This window comes from Homo sapiens, chromosome 7 (genome assembly GCF_000001405.40).
Source record: "Homo sapiens chromosome 7, GRCh38.p14 Primary Assembly".
NCBI lineage: Eukaryota > Metazoa > Chordata > Mammalia > Primates > Hominidae > Homo > Homo sapiens.
This window is the reverse complement of record NC_000007.14, coordinates 117,656,881-117,672,956: the sequence shown is the minus strand read 5'-3', so window position 1 is coordinate 117,672,956 and position 16,076 is coordinate 117,656,881. Positions and strand designations below refer to the sequence as shown.

The following is a 16,076-nucleotide window of genomic DNA, read 5'->3' as shown; positions in this document are numbered from 1 at the left end:
AAAATTTTGCCAAGACCTCTCCTTTCTCTGAGAAAGTACACAGGTATTGAGTCCCGGCTCCCTGTCAACTGACAATGACTTGGGTCTCTTAGCTCTACACACTGGGAACAGCTTCTAATTCCTAACCTAACAATTTGGAGTTCTCATGCTCCAATGTATTTGTCTTGCATTTGTAGGTTTTTTCACTGTATTTTTAAATAGGGAATTGTGATTGTCCACACCTGTTTTAACAGGTCAAACAGGTTTTTATATTGAGCTCTTTAAACCTCATTTTAAATTGTCTTCCACATAGTATTTGAGGTTCTTTCTTTAGTGAAGTACTAAAATATTTACCTTGGGGGTTTTATTAGCCTTTCACTCGAATAGGTAACAATTTCCCAACCATGGAAGGTCCCTGGTTACTGGAAGGAAGCATATTCATTTCAGGTTTTGGCTTTTTTTCCTCATAATGAAGATAAACAAAGTGAAACAACTAGGAAATAAATTAAGAAAGTGTGTGTCAGATAGGAGTGGGCATAGACAGGGACAAGTAAAGCCCCAAAATCAAGACTTCAATACAGAAAACAAATAAAAATAGAAAGTCTGTGGCTATAATAGTTTATTTTATTTTTTTAAATGGGAAAGAGGAAAGAAAATCTCATATGAGGAAAAATCAAGTGTAGGGATATATATAAGCTAATATATAAATGAAATGAATACCTGAAATGGTAAAAGGGACAGAAGCTAGAAATTTGTAATTTAAGGTACTTGCACTGATATGAAATGGAATATTGTTATTTAAAGGCACATAGGTCACTTGTAAATGTTTATTGCAAACTGTAGGGCAACCACTAAAAAAGTTTAAAAAAAGAAGAATTGCTATGTTAAGAAGGTGAGAAAATAGAATCCTGTAAAATGCTCAATAAAATTTAAAAAGGCAAAAAAATGGGGAAAGTAAAAATAGGAATAAAGAACAAAGGAAACAAACAGAAAACAGGAATAAATATGGTAGATATTAATCCAATTATATCAATAATCATTTTAAATGTCAAGAGCTAAAAAACAAAGATTGTGAGAGTGAATCAAAAAGCAAGACTTACATGATGTCTATAAGAAACCTAGTTAAATTTAAAGCCCCAGGTAGATTAATAAAGGGATGGATAAAGTTATACCATGCTAACAAAAGAAATCCAGTAAAGGAACTCAACAACAAGACACAACCTGATCAAAACACGGGCCAAAGACCTTAACAGATGCCTTGCCAAAAAAGATACACAGCTGGCAAATAAGCATATGAAAACATACTCCACATCATGTCATCAGGGAAATGCAAATTGAAATAACAATGAGATACCACCACAAAACTATTAGAATGGCCAAATTCTAAAACGCCGAGGACACCAAATGCTGGCAATGATAAGGAGCAACCACAACTCCCATTCGTTACTGGTGGGACTGCAAAATGGTACAGCCACTTTGAAGACAGTTTGGCAGTTTCTTACAAAACGAAACATCTTTTACTATATGATCCAACAATTGAACTCCTTGGTACTTACCCAAAGAAATTAAAACTTATATTTACACAAAAACCCACACACAGATGTTTCAGCAGCTTTATTGAAAATTGCCAAAACGTTGAAGCAACCAAGATGTCCTTTAGTAGGTCAATGAATAAACTGTGGTACATCTGACAATAGAATATAATTCAGCACTAAAAAGAAATGAGCTATCAAGCCATGAAAAGATACGGAGGAAACTTAAATGCATATTACTAAGTGAAAGAAGCCAATCTGAAAAGGCCACATACTGCGTAATTCTAAGTAGATGACATTCTGGTAAAGGCAAAACTATGGAGACAATAAAAAGGTCAGTGGTTGCCAAAAGTTAGGGGAGAAAGGGGAATGAATATGCAGAGCACAAAGTATTTTTTGGGCAGTGAAACTACCCTGTAAGATACTGTAATGGTAGTTAACTTGTCATTACACATTTGTCCAAACCCATGAAATGTAAAATACCAATAATGAACCCTAATATAAACTATTGTGTTTGGGCAATAATAATGTGTCAATGTAGGTTCATTGGTTGTGTTAAGGAAAAAGTGACTGAGGCAGGTGTCTTAATCGATAGAGGTTTGTTTAGCCAAAGTTTGCAGATGCACCCAGGAAGAACACAAGCCAGAGGAGCATCTGTGACCTGTGCTTTTCCAAAGAGGGTTTGGGAACTTTAATATTTAAAGAGTAAAGTGCAAACACGGAGAAGGAAAAGAGGATAGAGGGTAGGCAGTGAGGCAAATGGTTCTATTCAGGGGAGGCTTTGGTTAGTGTTCAGTAAATCCAAATTTTATAGGTAAAAAGAGGGAGTAAAGGAAAAGTCAATTATGTGTTCATTGCAGGGTAGACAGCACGATGATTTCTGGTCTTGCCCGCGTCCTGTGCCTATGAAGACAAGCTGGTAATTGACATCATCAGGGTGAAATTCAACATAACTCAGTTTTAGGGCTATTTTATAGGAGGGATATGTATCCTAAAAGATAGGGTCTCACAAGGATTTTCCTTGGGCACAATTGTGAGGGAGGTCATTTGGGGAGATATGTGGCCTTCTATCATTGTGGGAACCTGGTTTATGGATGAGGCTATCACACAAGATTGTGAAGTTACGGCTGTTAGGGAACAAAAGGAAGGCAATATTGAGTAATTCAGCTCTGAAGCTTAACTTGCCCTTTGGCATAGTGAGCTTGGGGTCTTGAAATTCTATTTGCTTTCACAGTTGTAACAAATGTACTACTTTAGTGTGGGATGTTGAATGGGGGAGGCTATCATGTATGGAGAAGTTATATGTGAACTCTCCATACTTTTTGTTCAATTTTGATGGGAACCTAAAACTGCCCTAAAAAAAATAAAGTTTAGTAATTTTAAAAAAAGAACTAGACTAGAACACGCTCTGAGACTGCCCTCTTGGGGTTACGTGTGAAAACAAACCTCTCCAAGAAAGAGAACACAGGGCCGGAGGGCCTGGCATTCAGTAGGGATCTGCAGTCCGTCCACCACATGCTAGCAACTGCACATTTCATGAAGAAGCTCAACAAGGAAGAAAAAAAGGAACTAAAGAAGCCTCATCAATTAAAAAGAGGGATTTGGACAAAGAAAATCCATGCAGGTGCCAACGCAGAAATAGTATTTTCGTTGATGAAGATTTTTAACTTACCAAGAGCTATGAGATAGCTACCACTTTTTGAATAAGCTTTAAAAGAAATAGATGGACACTTGCAGAATATAAATCTTTTGTGTTCTATAAGCCTCCATTTAAAAATAAAAATAACTTCAAACATATCCTAAGTAATGAAAGCAGGGACATGAAGAAACATTTGTACACCCATATTTATAGAAGCATTATTCACTATATCCAAAAAGTGGAAGCAAACCAAGTAGCCAGTGATGGATGAATGGGTGAGGAAAAATGTGGTACATATTTATAGAGTGGTCCCCCTATCCAAGGTTTTGCTCTCTGTGGTTTCAGTTACCTGTGGCACAGTATAATGAGATATTTTGAGAAAGAGAGAGACCACATTTGTATCGCTCGTGTCATAATATATTGTTATAATTGTTCTATTTTATGATTATTGTTGTTAATCTATTACTGTGCTTAATTTATAAATTAAATGTTATCATATGTATGTGTGTATGTATAGGAATAAACACAGTAATCAGGTTCAGTGCTATCAGTGATTTCAGGCATCCATTGGGGGTCTTGGAACATATTCCCCAAGGATAAGGGGGGACTACTCTATAATGAATATTATTCAACCTTAAGAAGGAAGAAAATTGACCCATGTTGCAACATGGATGAGGCTTGAAGACATTATGCTAGATGAAATAAGCACAAAAATACAAATACTGTATGATCCCACTCCTAGGTCCTTCGAGTAGTCAAAATCAGAGACAGAAAGTAAAATGGTGGTTGCCAGGCATTAGAGGAAAGATAAATGCGGGATTATTGACTAACGGGTAAAAAGAGTTTCAGTTTTGCAAGAAAAAAATTCTGTGGAAGGATGATGGTGATATTTGCACAACCATGTGAATGTACCTAATGACACTGAACTGAACTTTAAAATGGTTAAAATGGAAAATTTTATGTTATGTATATTTTACCATAGTTTAAACAGATAACTAAAAATGTGTGTTCTAATTCATGTGAATTCTCAAAAGAGGCTATATCTAAAAGACAGATTCGTGTTTCATGTTCCATGAAGCTTAGAAATTGGAGTGAGAGACTGATGAAACATGACAAGTGAACGCATCTGAAAACAACAAAGTTTCACACAAATGTATGGATTTTATTGACAAGTGATATTTTCTTACAGTAATAAATATAATGCAGTCTTCTTAAGAGTCAGTTTGGAGTTGAGAAGGCAGTGTACCCTTGATGGAAACAGTCAGACTGGTGGTACCATCTTCTTCAGAACTGCATCTAAGAGGCTGTGCTGGCTGGGAATCATACAGCTGTGGGCAACAACTGCATCAGCCCCAAGGCTTCCCTCCAGACCAAAAGGTGATTCATGGCCCCTGGTTAATATCACCCTAGGTTCTCCCCTGTCCCAGTTTTAACATAATATTTCATAGAAATACTAGTGCCATAAAAAGTCAATATTTCAAATATAAAAATTATTTTATACAAATGTAATTCATAATCATTCTTTTAAAATACAGCATTGTTATATATGTTTGAAACATTATTAAAATAAATATTTCCTAGAGAAAAAATTTTGCTTCACAAAATTATAAAACAGAAGCATATAAAACTAATTCATGATTGGTGCTTCTTCAGTGTGTCTCTCATTCTCTCTTAGTGTAGACAGCATGAAGTACATACATCTAGCCTGAAAACATACCACCATCAACCTATACATCTAAATGCTTGGACTTCATGTGTGTCTACCCACAGTGCCCATGGCCTATCTACTTACACACCCTCTACCTGGAGCTTCTGTGGAAAGAAGGGCTGTCCTGTGACAATTTGCACTAACATACTTTTCCAGCTAAACTCTAGTTCAAAGGTCTGTGAGCTTGTCACTTTCTGGAGTTGGGAAAAGGCATATCAACTTCTTCATCAAGGGAACCATCCTGTCCCCTGTGAAAGATTATAACAGCCCTTTCCCAGGTAAGGGATGTATTGTGATTATCTGAAATATTGAGATTTTTGGTAGACCTGGACAATACTAACCCTGATTTCCAGGATCTGGAAGTTCTCTTTCCTGACTGCTCACTAGATGTTGAATGGGGCATATTTTGATGTGCAGTCTTGTGGTTCCTGTGGTATTCTAATACTTGCTTGGAAATGAGATAGTTGGAATGCTTAGCAAACAATATAGTTGTGTTTCTAAACATCATGGGGAGAGGAGAGAAAAAGGAATACAAGCTTATATAAACCGCTGAAGTTTCCAGTTATCATTACTTAATCATAACCCTAAGAAGTATGATTTCAGTTCTTCTCCAACACTACAAATTAACGAGTTTCACTAGACAATAAGCTGATCAACTAGGCTGATTGACATTTAGAGCTGCCTTTCCAATTACTAGCACATGGCAAGGGTTTTCAGGAAAATCTGGCTTGCAAAACACAAGTGGTAAATCTTCAAGGATTTGAAGTACCTTTCACACAATTTGACTATTGCCAGGAAGCCATTTATCAAGACCCATATCAGTGTCCTCAATTCCCCTTACCAAATGTTTCTTTTTTAAAAAAAAACTTAATTCATCCTTGTTTTCTGAGGCAGAGGTAACTGTTCCACGAGCTCCAATTCCATGAGGTGACTGTCCCACGAGCTCCAATTCCATGAGCAAATGTCCCATGTCAACATTTATGCTGCTCTCTAAAGCCTTGTATCTTGCACCTCTTCTTCTGTCTCCTCTTTCAGAGCAGCAATCTGGGGCTTAGACTTGCACTTGCTTGAGTTCCGGTGGGGAAAGAGCTTCACCCTGTCGGAGGGGCTGATGGCTTGCCGGAAGAGGCTCCTCTCGTTCAGCAGTTTCTGGATGGAATCGTACTGCCGCACTTTGTTCTCTTCTATGACCTAGGGAAATGGCTGTTAGTGAGATCTGGGACAGAAGGCAGGTCAGACCAGAGCAGGGACAGAAACTGGCACAGGCTCAAAGGAAAATAAAAGTCAAAGAATGCAATGTCCAGAGCCTTGCATTTTGAACAATCAGGTATGTCACATTTAACTGCTGTGTCCTTTTGCTCTAAGGAGGTTCTACCATCTGTGAAATTAGTTGTGATTTTCTACTCAGCAGCTGGAAGATTCTTCAGGGAGGTTTAGTAGAACTGAAGTTGCTTTGAAAACAAAATATTAGGTCCCTTATAAATTACCTAGAAAATGAGCGTAAGTCTACAGCACCATAAAGAGTTGAGCCTCTTCCACAGTGATCTGAAGCTTAAGAATTCCAAATTGGTCAGGATGTGCCTGAGTTTAATACACCTCCTTGGCTTGTTCAGGTTGAGCAAATCCAAGATCAGACAATAGAGGACTTTACTTAGATTCTTGAACTTGTCCATGGCAGGGCAAGAGGTTGTGAGTCTGCCCCCCTAATTTGTTACTTCAAGCTTAGTGATAATCATGGTAATAACAAGCCTTCAGTAAGGAAACCATTTACCTCCAGGAGGCTCAAAAGCCTGAACAGAAATGACGTGATACATCATCCTCAGAACTTCCTTGTGACTAAACCATAGGGAATTTGTAAACATCACTTGAAAGAAGCTGTGACAGTTTTGTTTTGTTTTAATAAAGACAGATGGGGCCTCACTATGTTGCCTGGGCTGGTCTTGAATTCCTGGCCTCAAGTAATCCCCCCACCTCAGCCTCCCAAAGTATTGGGATTACAGATGTAAGCCACTGTGCCTGGCCATGTGACAGTTTTTTTAAGAACAGTGAGAAGGTGGTTGAGAAAGGTACTACCTGAACCCAAATCATGGCTAGAAAAATGAAATGTGCCTCTCAACTTTGTCATTAATACCATAAATCAGACTGTAAGACAACTAGGCCTGTCCCAGACCACATCCATGGGACATTTAGTTATTGAAAGAATCACAGGGACCTTTTTTAAAATCTTAAACAGTAGAGTATTTTGTATGACTTGGTCCCCAAATAAAGGGCTCAAAAAGTATATATATCCTATTTATAAACATAACTTAGTAATATGCTGCCATTTTAGATTTACTATATTTCAACCTCACCACATGGCTCAGATCAAAGTGAAAAACTTGTGCAGCTATTTTGAGTAAAGCTGGATGGCTGTATGATACATATTTTTGAAAAGAACTTGTACATTGTTGCAATTTGCAGGAACTATCACATGTGAGATTGTTATCAAGAATTACAAGGGCAATGAGATCTTAAGTAAAGTTATAAAGACTCACCAAAAATTGTTGGCATTCCAGCATTGCTTCTATCCTGTGTTCACAGAGAATTACTGTGCAATCAGCAAATGCTTGTTTTAGAGTTCTTCTAATTATTTGGTATGTTCTAGAAAAGAAAGAAAATACCACACATAATATCACAGAACAGTAATGATCTGTATTTACCTTGATAATATGTCTATTGTTCTATTATCTCTTTAAATTACTTATTTCTTTAAGTTCTTTTCACATAATGTTGATATAGCGTTAGCCACAATCAGCTTTTCAACCATGGGGTAGACTCTAAGTATCCATAAATAAACAGGACAAATATTTCAAAGAAACTTTAATAAATGAGTACATTTTTCATTATGTAGAATCACCAGTACTTCTTTATTTGGGGCTATAAACATGCTTATGGTATAAATGGGATACAAAGGCAAATCATAAGGATCAGATTAGGCCCATGTATTTAAAAGCTTCATCATGTGTTGACAAGGGGGAAGAGTTTGTATGAAACTAAAAACTATCTTCGGAAGAAAACACAAGACTCTTAGCAAGGAAATATGCATTTATGCTCATTTCCACTGGGCAATTATTTCATATCTTGGGGGAGACCCCCACACGCAGACATGACAGCCTAATAGAAATATGTGTCACCATGAAGCAGGCATAATGATTCTGTTCCCACTGTGCTATTAAGTAACAGAACATCTGAAACTCACACTGGATCCAAATGAGCACTGGGTTCATCAAGCAGCAAGATCTTCGCCTTACTGAGAACAGATCTAGCCAAGCACATCAACTGCTTGTGGCCATGGCTTAGGACACAGCCCCCATCCACAAGGACAAAGTCAAGCTTCCCAGGAAACTGTTCTATCACAGATCTGAGCCCAACCTGCAGTTAGAGAAGATAGTTCAGATACCACAGAGTTAAAAACACTCAAGCAGTTGACATTCTAAAAATAAACACAGGAGTTCTGAAAGCTTATGTTTTTCATACCAATCCCTCTACCCCCACTACCTGCCACCATTTGAATTGATTGAGCAAAAGTCTATTTACAACCTTGACAGCTCAAAAGAATCAGTCTATAACTTGTTTTATCTTTGTACTTCATTCATTAGGAAACTTTCAATGAGTGTCTATTACGTGCCAGGTATCCCAAAAAGTAGTAAGAAAACAATACGTGGCACATGGCTCTTGTGAGGCTCAGCGTTTATAAAGGTGTACATAAATTATTCCAACACAACTGAATGCATGCTGGAAAAGATAATATGTATACATTGCAGATATGCCCTCTAGTATGACATCTTATGTAGACAGAAGATAGAATGTAGCATAAAGGATGGAGGTATGACATCATCCTTGGTGCTACCTCCCATCTTCTACTCTGTCATGACTGAGGACAAAAGATAGCATAAAATAGTCAACTGTGGGGTTTTTTAAATTACATATGGAAAATTGCTATTCATCTCTTGAATTCATAAAAACTAACTGTAACAAATAGGTAAAACTATGAAGTAAAAAATACTGGAGTTAAAATAGTGGTACAACACTAGGAGATATAAAGCCTCTTAGATATTGGGGTAGAATATGAGGGCTGTATTAGAGTCAAAGGCTTTTTTTTTAAAGCTAGACAGTAAAAGTAAAGTTTGAAAATGCAAATGAGATATAGAAACCCATTCTATAAAAATATGACAAAGTTATTGAAGTATTGGATCTTATCAATTATTCAAATAAATGTGCATTAAATGTTTATTTTTGGCAAGTACTCCTGAGTGTATGAAGGCCAAAGAGATATACAGATGATTGTCTCCTGCCCTTGAGAAGTCTAGAATTTAGTATGAGGAGGTAAGATGGGCTCCACCTGACTGTAATATAGAATGAGATAATGGCTCAGAAAGAATCTTATGATTTCAGAGATAAATTCAGAAATGGCCCATAACACTGTGTTTGTTCACAAAAAATTAACTGTGTGCCCATCACACGACCAGGAGATTTTAAGCCTCTTTGATATTGGGGTAGAATATGAAAGTTGTGTTAGGACCAATGGCTTGTTTTTTTTTTTTTTTTTTAGCTGGACAAGAAACAAACAAGCAAAAAACATTTGAAAGTATATTGCAGATGATACTCCTTTCCTTGGTTGGTTTCTCATTAAAGTAATCTCACCTTGTAGAAATTCATTAAAGTTTGAGAAGGGTTTCTGGTATGGCAGGAAATGTAAACACATTTATTAGACAAGGGGGACTACTCTGATGTATCCCCGAAGACTCAAACATAAAACTTAGAAATACAAGTGCTGAGAATATGAATAAAGGGCACTGGGCAGGGAGTTAGAGGACCTGTGTCTTTCTTTGTGCCTTCAACTTTTTTATTGTTTCAGTCTATGAAGCTGCTATGGTCTATCTTTTTTAAAAAACAAAAACAAAATCCCTCCCTTGTTTCTGGGTTCTCCTTTAGCTATCATTCAACATCTGCCCATTTAGTCATCTAGAAATCTCAAGAAATTAATGTGTATCTGTCATCTCTACTGCTTCCCACCACAAGAATTTTCCTTTCTTAAAACATCTATTCCTTGGCTTGAGAGAAACCACACACTCTATGGCCATTTCTTCCTATTGTCATGTGTGAACAACTCTCCCTCTTCCTGCCCCCTTGAATATTAGTCTTTGTCATTTCCAACTCTCCAGACTCTCCTCTGAGATCCCAGTCATTTTCAGGGTATTGATGACCACCTATAAGTTAATAATTTTCAAATGTTTATCTCCATCCCTAGAATTCTTCCAACTACTTTTTAAATCATTCTCCTCCTTACCAACTCTATTATAGTGATCCCAGTCTGGGTCATCATCATCTCTTAAGAATCATCCTACAAATCTCAATTAGTCAAATTGCAAGTCCACCATACAAACACCCCAGGGATCTTCCTAAGATGTAGGTTTGACCATATCATTTCTGTTTTAAATCCTATGGTAGTTCTCCTCCTGGTGGAATAAAATCTAAGATCTCTCACCTGGTGTATGAGGCATCCAAATGGAGCCCCCTTCACTCTTATTCCCAGCAGAACCAAACATCTTGTAGTTCCCTAAACACCTTGATGCTCTCAAGTGATGCCATTGCTGAGCCTGACATATCCTTCTGAATATCCCTGATCATCTCTTAAGCCATTCAACCAGGCACCTAGTGATAGTAGTATTTGTGCAAGTTCCCTCGTTAGACTGTAAGCTTCTTGAGGGTAAAAACGTGCTCTTCAGCTCTGTGTTCCTAATGCCAGTCCTGGGTAACTGTCAACCTCAACAATTCATTCATTTATCAAATATGTACTGAGCTCCTAGAATGTGGGTGGCCAAACAAAACAGAGTTTTGATGAATGATAAATGAATCAAAACTTGAGGATGAATGAATGACTGAGCACTGGCTTAAGCTCTGCCATTGTAAAATGTTATCTAAGACATATCACTTTGCATGTGAGTATTCAAGATGCTATAAATTTCTCACAAAATCAAATTATAAAATTAAAATTTCCCTAACACTGATAGAAATGTTAGTACTTTAGATCAATCAGCAGTATTTGAGGGTTTTTTTTTTTTTTTTTTTTTTTCAGTAAAATTAACCAGCAAGAAAAGGTCTGGCTTAAGACTGCAGCTCTAGAGTCAAACACAATCAGCTTTGAATCTGCCCTCCTCAGCTCATTTGCTGATGATATCAGGCACATTATTTTAAGTCTCATTTATCTCATATGTAAAAAAATGGAGAAAATAATAATATTGATGTCAAAGGGTTGTTACAAGGATTACCAGAGATAATTTGTGGAAAGCGGCTCCCACAGAATATGGCACATGGTAAGTACCTAATGTACAGTAATTATTAGTATTATTGGAGCCTGGGCAACTCCAAGGACATGGGCTCAGGAACTGAAACACTACCTTTGTGTGACAACAGCTTTGTAAAAATTTTCCTTCACAAGTTGCCTTGGGAACTAAGCTAGCAGGAAGTACTGCAATACTGCGAAGTTAGTGATGGCCATAGTAACAGGGTGGAGATTTTGGTCAGAATGCAGTATGCTCCCTCTAGATTCACACCAGTCATATACTAAGTTCCTAAGGCCGTACTAGGAAAGCTATTTGACTGTCTTAGACTTTGCACTTGTGGCAAAGAGCTGAGCAAAGTATGTTTTTCCCCAGATGAAATTCTTTATTAGAAGTAAACAATTACATAAATTTATATATAACTGTCAATATTTAGAGAACAGAATTTTTAAAATGAATGACACTAAGACTGACCAACACAGGGGACATTTTGCAATATTCCTATCTCACTGTTTTATTCACTGTGAAGTATAGTAAAAAGCTTTTTAGAATCATCTTCATTAGAGAAAAGTCAACATAGTTAATAAAACTTAAAATTGAAGTCAGTAAACATTTAAGAAATTTATTAAGTATCTATTTTCTGCCAGACATGCTAATAGGTTTTGGTGAGATAATGGAAAGCAAGATAGATTAGTAATTGTTTTTGAAAAGTACAAAGTTATTGTTACCAATCACATGTGCTGATAAGAATTCTCCTACGGATCTTTTGGATGTAAATGACTGCTTAGTCATATATTCTTTCAACTGGCTCTTAATGAGAGTTTATTAAATTCTAGGTACTCTGACAGACCCCAGATTCAAAGATGAGTAACAGGAGGCTCTGCCTTAAAGGAAATTATGGTCCAAAAGGGGAGAAAAATAGTAAGTGGAAAATTACTGTTCAAAGAGATAAGCACTATGGGCAAAAAACAAACAAACAGGAAATTGCTAGAGATCATCTGATTTAGTGATCTGTGGCAGCAGAATCCTTTATCCTTTAAATATGTATATATATGTATATATGTATATATATATGTGTGTGTATATACACACACACACACACACACACATATATATCCCCAATATAATCTTTCTTTCTTCCTTTTTGAGACAGAATCTTGCTCTATTGCCCAGGCTGGAGTGCAGTGGTGCGATCTGGGCTCACTGCAACCTCCGACTCCCAGGTTCAAACAATTCTCCTGCCTCAGCCTCCCAAGTAGCTGGGATTACAGTGCCTGCCACCATGCCCAGCTAATTTTTGTATTTTAGTGGAGAGGGGATTTCTACATGTTGGCCAGGCTGGTCTTGAACTCCTGACCTCAGGTGATCCAACCGCCTCGGCCTCCCAAAGTGCTAGGATTACAAGTGTGAGCCACTGCGTCCTGCCCCCAATATAATCTTGTTAATACTATCATTAGAAACCATTTTTCAATAAATTAAAAAAAGTACAAACTTTAGCTCAGTCCTGTCCAAACTAAGAAGACTTCAAAATTACTAGAATCTAAAGTTTTCCAATGATTTTCATTACAACGTAGCATTAAAAATAAATAAATGAAAACATCAACAGTTTGTAGATATAAAGAACTTTAGGAAAAAGAATTTTCCAGCTTCATGCTGATGAGCTAATAAATAGTATGTACTTCCCAAACTGCTGTGAAAAAAGAAGAAATTTTGTTTTGTAACATGTTAAACTAAAAAAAAAAAAATGTCTAAGAGTTTGTAAAGGATTCAAAATGTTGACTTTTGCTATTGCTGTATTCTGGAATGTTATTATGGAGCAAGAGTTTGCTCTTGTGACAGAGAAACATGAAAAAAAATCATAAAAGTGAATTGTGGTTTTACTGAATAATCCATAAGTGGCAGTTATAAAAATAGATACAGTCAACTCCTTTTGATACTCTGTTTGCTACTCTGTAGATTTTTCAGGGTAAATTTTCAACTTAAAAGGCCACTATTTCTGCTATTTAGCTTGTTTTCTAAAATAACTAACCTTACTATCAATGAGTAAGGATGGAAACTATTTTATAAGTATTGAAAAAGCAAACAATTACCCAAAAAGCCTTCAGTCCAAAATCAACAGACATTGTACTTAGATTACAGACAACCCTGAGATAGCCCACAGGGGTGATGCAGCTCTGCTCCTGCATCTGCCAGCTGTCCCAGTCAAGGCCCTCAGACATCTCAAGGCTCTGAGTCCTCATTCTAAAGTGAGGATGGTAATACCTGCTGTGTATCAATCACAAGGCTATTTCCATGATCTATTACATATGAAATGAAAGAACTCCTTATTCATTCAACCAATATTTATTGAATACCATCCATGTATGCAAGACTACTCTAGGCACTGGAAATACAACAATTAATAGGATATAATCCCTGACCTCCAGGAACTTCCACTCCAGTGGGGGACATGGACAAGTTAAAAGGTAAATCTCCAGCCAGAGTGAGAAATGCTATGAAAGGGGTGGAGTTATAGGGTACACCTAGGAAACCGAGACCTGGAGTGTCAAGGCAGATTTTTGGAAAGAAGTGATGTGTAAGGAGAGGCCTGAAAGATGGTAGAAGGAGGCAGTGAAGGGCTGGGGGAGTTTCCCAGGTAGAGAATAGCAAGTGAACAAAAAAGCCTCTGCAGAACAGAAAGCACATGTGCTTTAGAGAACCAAAGAAATTCAGTATAACTGAATCATGGGAAGTAAGGGGAAGTTGGGCAGTGAGTGTAGAAAGCCAAACAAAGACAAAATCATGAAGGACCTGGTAAGCCACCTTAAGCAGTGTGGACTTAGTCCAGAAGGCATTAAGGAGCCATATGAAGGGAAGAAACAAGTGATCAGATGTGGGGTTTGGAAAGATCACCAGAGCTGCAAAGAGCAGAATGAACTATTGGGGGTCAATGAGGGAAATGAGCCAGGAACCTCAGAAATTTGTGCAAGTGTTAATAGTGGTGTCAGGTGGAAATGAAGAAAAGTGAATATATTTCAGATACTCCCCAGGGACAGCATTGACAGGATGTGACATGTGGGTACCCGTGGAGGAACTTGAGAGTGAAAGATGAGTCCCAGGTCTTGGCCTTGGGAAACTGGAGGATGGGATGCCATTCAGTGGAATTAGGAACACAGGACAGGTATGTGGTGGGGCAGGGAAGGAACTCACTTATTGACATAAGGTGCTTTTCATGTGCTGAGATATCAGGTGGAAAGCTCTGGGAATAGGCAGATAATGGAGGTCATCAAAATAGAGATATTAATTAAAGCCAAAAGGACACATGAAATTTCCCAGGGAAACTAAGTAAAGTGAGACAAGAACTAGGATTCTGTCAGACACCATTTAAAGGATGACCAAGTGAAGTCCAGATTAAAAAAACATGATTATAGTTACTTTTACTTAGTACCCATATTTGCCAGGCACTGCGCTGGGCCCATTTTACATGTAAACTTGAAAAGTCACAACAATCCTACCAATTTATTGGGCCACAATGCCAGAAGTCTTTTTTTTTTCTCTTGGGATTCAGTTTCTTTTGAAATTCTCTTTGGTCTACACAGCTGGTAATTTCAGTTTGGCACCAATCTTGGAGAGAAGCTGTCTGGGCCTAAGCTGTTTTGGGATAGGTAAATTAAACTATCCAAGTTCTAGATTTTAGAAACTCTCTTCCCTTCCCTTGGACTTGCTTTAAATTCCTCCATCAAATGATAGGCAGACTGCCATGGTAAAGGTGTGGACCCAGGAAATAAGGAAAAAGGAGGCTCTCTGGACCAGCTTTTGTTCTAAGCCTTCCAGCTAGTAACTAGGTACAAGTCATGGCTTCATGAGATACAGTCCAGATCAGCAAGGATAAGATTCTACACTGGACATGGAAGCCAAGTCCAAGCTAGAAATAAAGCATTTCTTGGCCTGGAATTATCACTGTATATATTTTTAATTTCCATTTGGGATAATGGGGAATTATGTAGGAGGTGCTGTTGGGATAAGATTCAGGTGTCTGGCTATTTGTCATTACTCTGTTCATTTACCTCTAGAGATACTAGTCATGGCAAGGACAAAGAGAGGACTCAGTGAGATGACATACATCCTGGTTTGCCCCGGAAAGTCCTGCTTTGCACTTTTGTCATAATGTCCTGTCCAGTTTAGTGTTTGACACACCCAAAAATGTCCTGTTTGGACAAATTGTATTATCAGCTGTATTAGACTAAAGCCTAGGCCTTGTGACTTTGAAACCCAAATGCCTTTTCTGCTTCTCTAGGCTGATACTTGCTTGTTTGTTTGTATGCTGCTAGCAGGCTTACTCATCAAAAACCTATCACTACTAATCAAAAAAGCACACTACTACTCAACAAAAACTTAGCACTACTACTCAAAGCACTCATGACATTAAAGTTAGACTAACATCATCATCTTTGTGAATGGTAAATTATAAAAAAGGAGAACAGTAAAAGTATATACCTAAATATGAACTGATGAAATAAAAACCTAAACAGGTAAAAATTTTGCATTGTATTAGTATTTAAAATCATAACCACAGGTTCTAAGATTTTAGATTATATTTATGATCCTGCTTTCCTGTAAATTTTATTTTGATTTGGCAATACTTGCAGATTTTATAAAGGCTAATGTCTTCCCTCCCAAGTTTCCCTCCCATTGCATTGTGTTCCTATAGTGCATTCTCTGAAGTCATATCAAAGATCTTAAAATGTGTCACTTGCAATTTAGTTAATGTTTTCTTTAAAGCGCCTGTGTTTGTTGGGTAATAAGGAAACTTTGATAATGAAAACGGTTAATCTAAGTACATTTTATTAGGGGCATGTTAAGGTTGGGCACTCAATGGGTAAGTGTTTAACACTCACAGGCATTTCAAAGCTCCT

The 16,076-nt window shown here is 37.4% G+C and overlaps 1 protein-coding gene across 1 annotated transcript in view, besides 8 other annotated features; it reads right to left on the bottom strand.

Moving 5' to 3' along the window:
• Positions 1-625: part of a biological region, named in NCBI's record as "DNase I hypersensitive region 5.4 to 7.4 kb downstream of CFTR", that runs on past the window's edge.
• Positions 125-625: a DNaseI hypersensitive site, noted in NCBI's record as "DHS+5.4kb, or 4574 + 5.4 kb DHS, or DHS A; observed in multiple carcinoma and adenocarcinoma cell lines, and in fetal and adult lung; the nucleotide coordinates are approximate for this feature". NCBI's record gives the evidence for it as "EXISTENCE:in vivo cleavage assay evidence [ECO:0001075][PMID:10417323]".
• CFTR (CF transmembrane conductance regulator) overlaps positions 4,292-16,076 on the bottom strand; it is a 188,641-nt gene continuing 176,856 nt past the window's right edge. The window contains exons 25-27 of the mRNA NM_000492.4: positions 8,097-8,269; positions 7,393-7,498; positions 4,292-6,049 (exon numbers count right to left, since the gene is read on the bottom strand). Of these exons, the coding sequence (NP_000483.3) occupies positions 5,849-6,049; positions 7,393-7,498; positions 8,097-8,269 (480 nt within the window). The 3' untranslated portion in view covers positions 4,292-5,848. The remainder of the gene's footprint in view (positions 6,050-7,392; positions 7,499-8,096; positions 8,270-16,076) is intronic.
• Positions 5,819-7,018: an enhancer, noted in NCBI's record as "BRD4-independent group 4 enhancer chr7:117305993-117307192 (GRCh37/hg19 assembly coordinates)". NCBI's record gives its function as "activates an origin of replication core promoter dependent on BRD2, P300/CBP, MED14 and CDK7 cofactors, and independent of BRD4, by STARR-seq in HCT116 cells {active_cell/tissue: HCT116}" and the evidence as "EXISTENCE:reporter gene assay evidence [ECO:0000049][PMID:35650434]".
• Positions 5,819-7,262: a biological region, named in NCBI's record as "CFTR intron 23 enhancer". NCBI's record gives its function as "regulatory_interactions: CFTR | LOC111674463 | LOC111674476".
• Positions 5,862-7,262: a DNaseI hypersensitive site, noted in NCBI's record as "DHS23 or 4374 + 1.3 kb DHS; the nucleotide coordinates are approximate for this feature". NCBI's record gives its function as "accessible chromatin region in HTE and NHBE airway epithelial cells {active_cell/tissue: HTE | NHBE}" and the evidence as "EXISTENCE:in vivo cleavage assay evidence [ECO:0001075][PMID:19897727, PMID:21895967]".
• Positions 6,111-7,223: an enhancer, noted in NCBI's record as "intron 23 fragment used in the pGL3B reporter constructs". NCBI's record gives its function as "activates a basal CFTR promoter in transfected bronchial epithelial 16HBE14o- cells, and also shows cooperative activity with the -3.4 kb and -35 kb CFTR enhancers {active_cell/tissue: 16HBE14o-}" and the evidence as "EXISTENCE:reporter gene assay evidence [ECO:0000049][PMID:21895967, PMID:26615198]".
• Positions 11,929-13,852: an enhancer, noted in NCBI's record as "PE1.9 fragment used in the pGL3B-245/PE1.9 reporter construct". NCBI's record gives its function as "modestly activates a basal CFTR promoter in transfected Caco2 cells" and the evidence as "EXISTENCE:reporter gene assay evidence [ECO:0000049][PMID:11856314]".
• Positions 12,499-13,499: a DNaseI hypersensitive site, noted in NCBI's record as "DHS21 or 4095 + 7.2 kb DHS; the nucleotide coordinates are approximate for this feature". NCBI's record gives the evidence for it as "EXISTENCE:in vivo cleavage assay evidence [ECO:0001075][PMID:10708521]".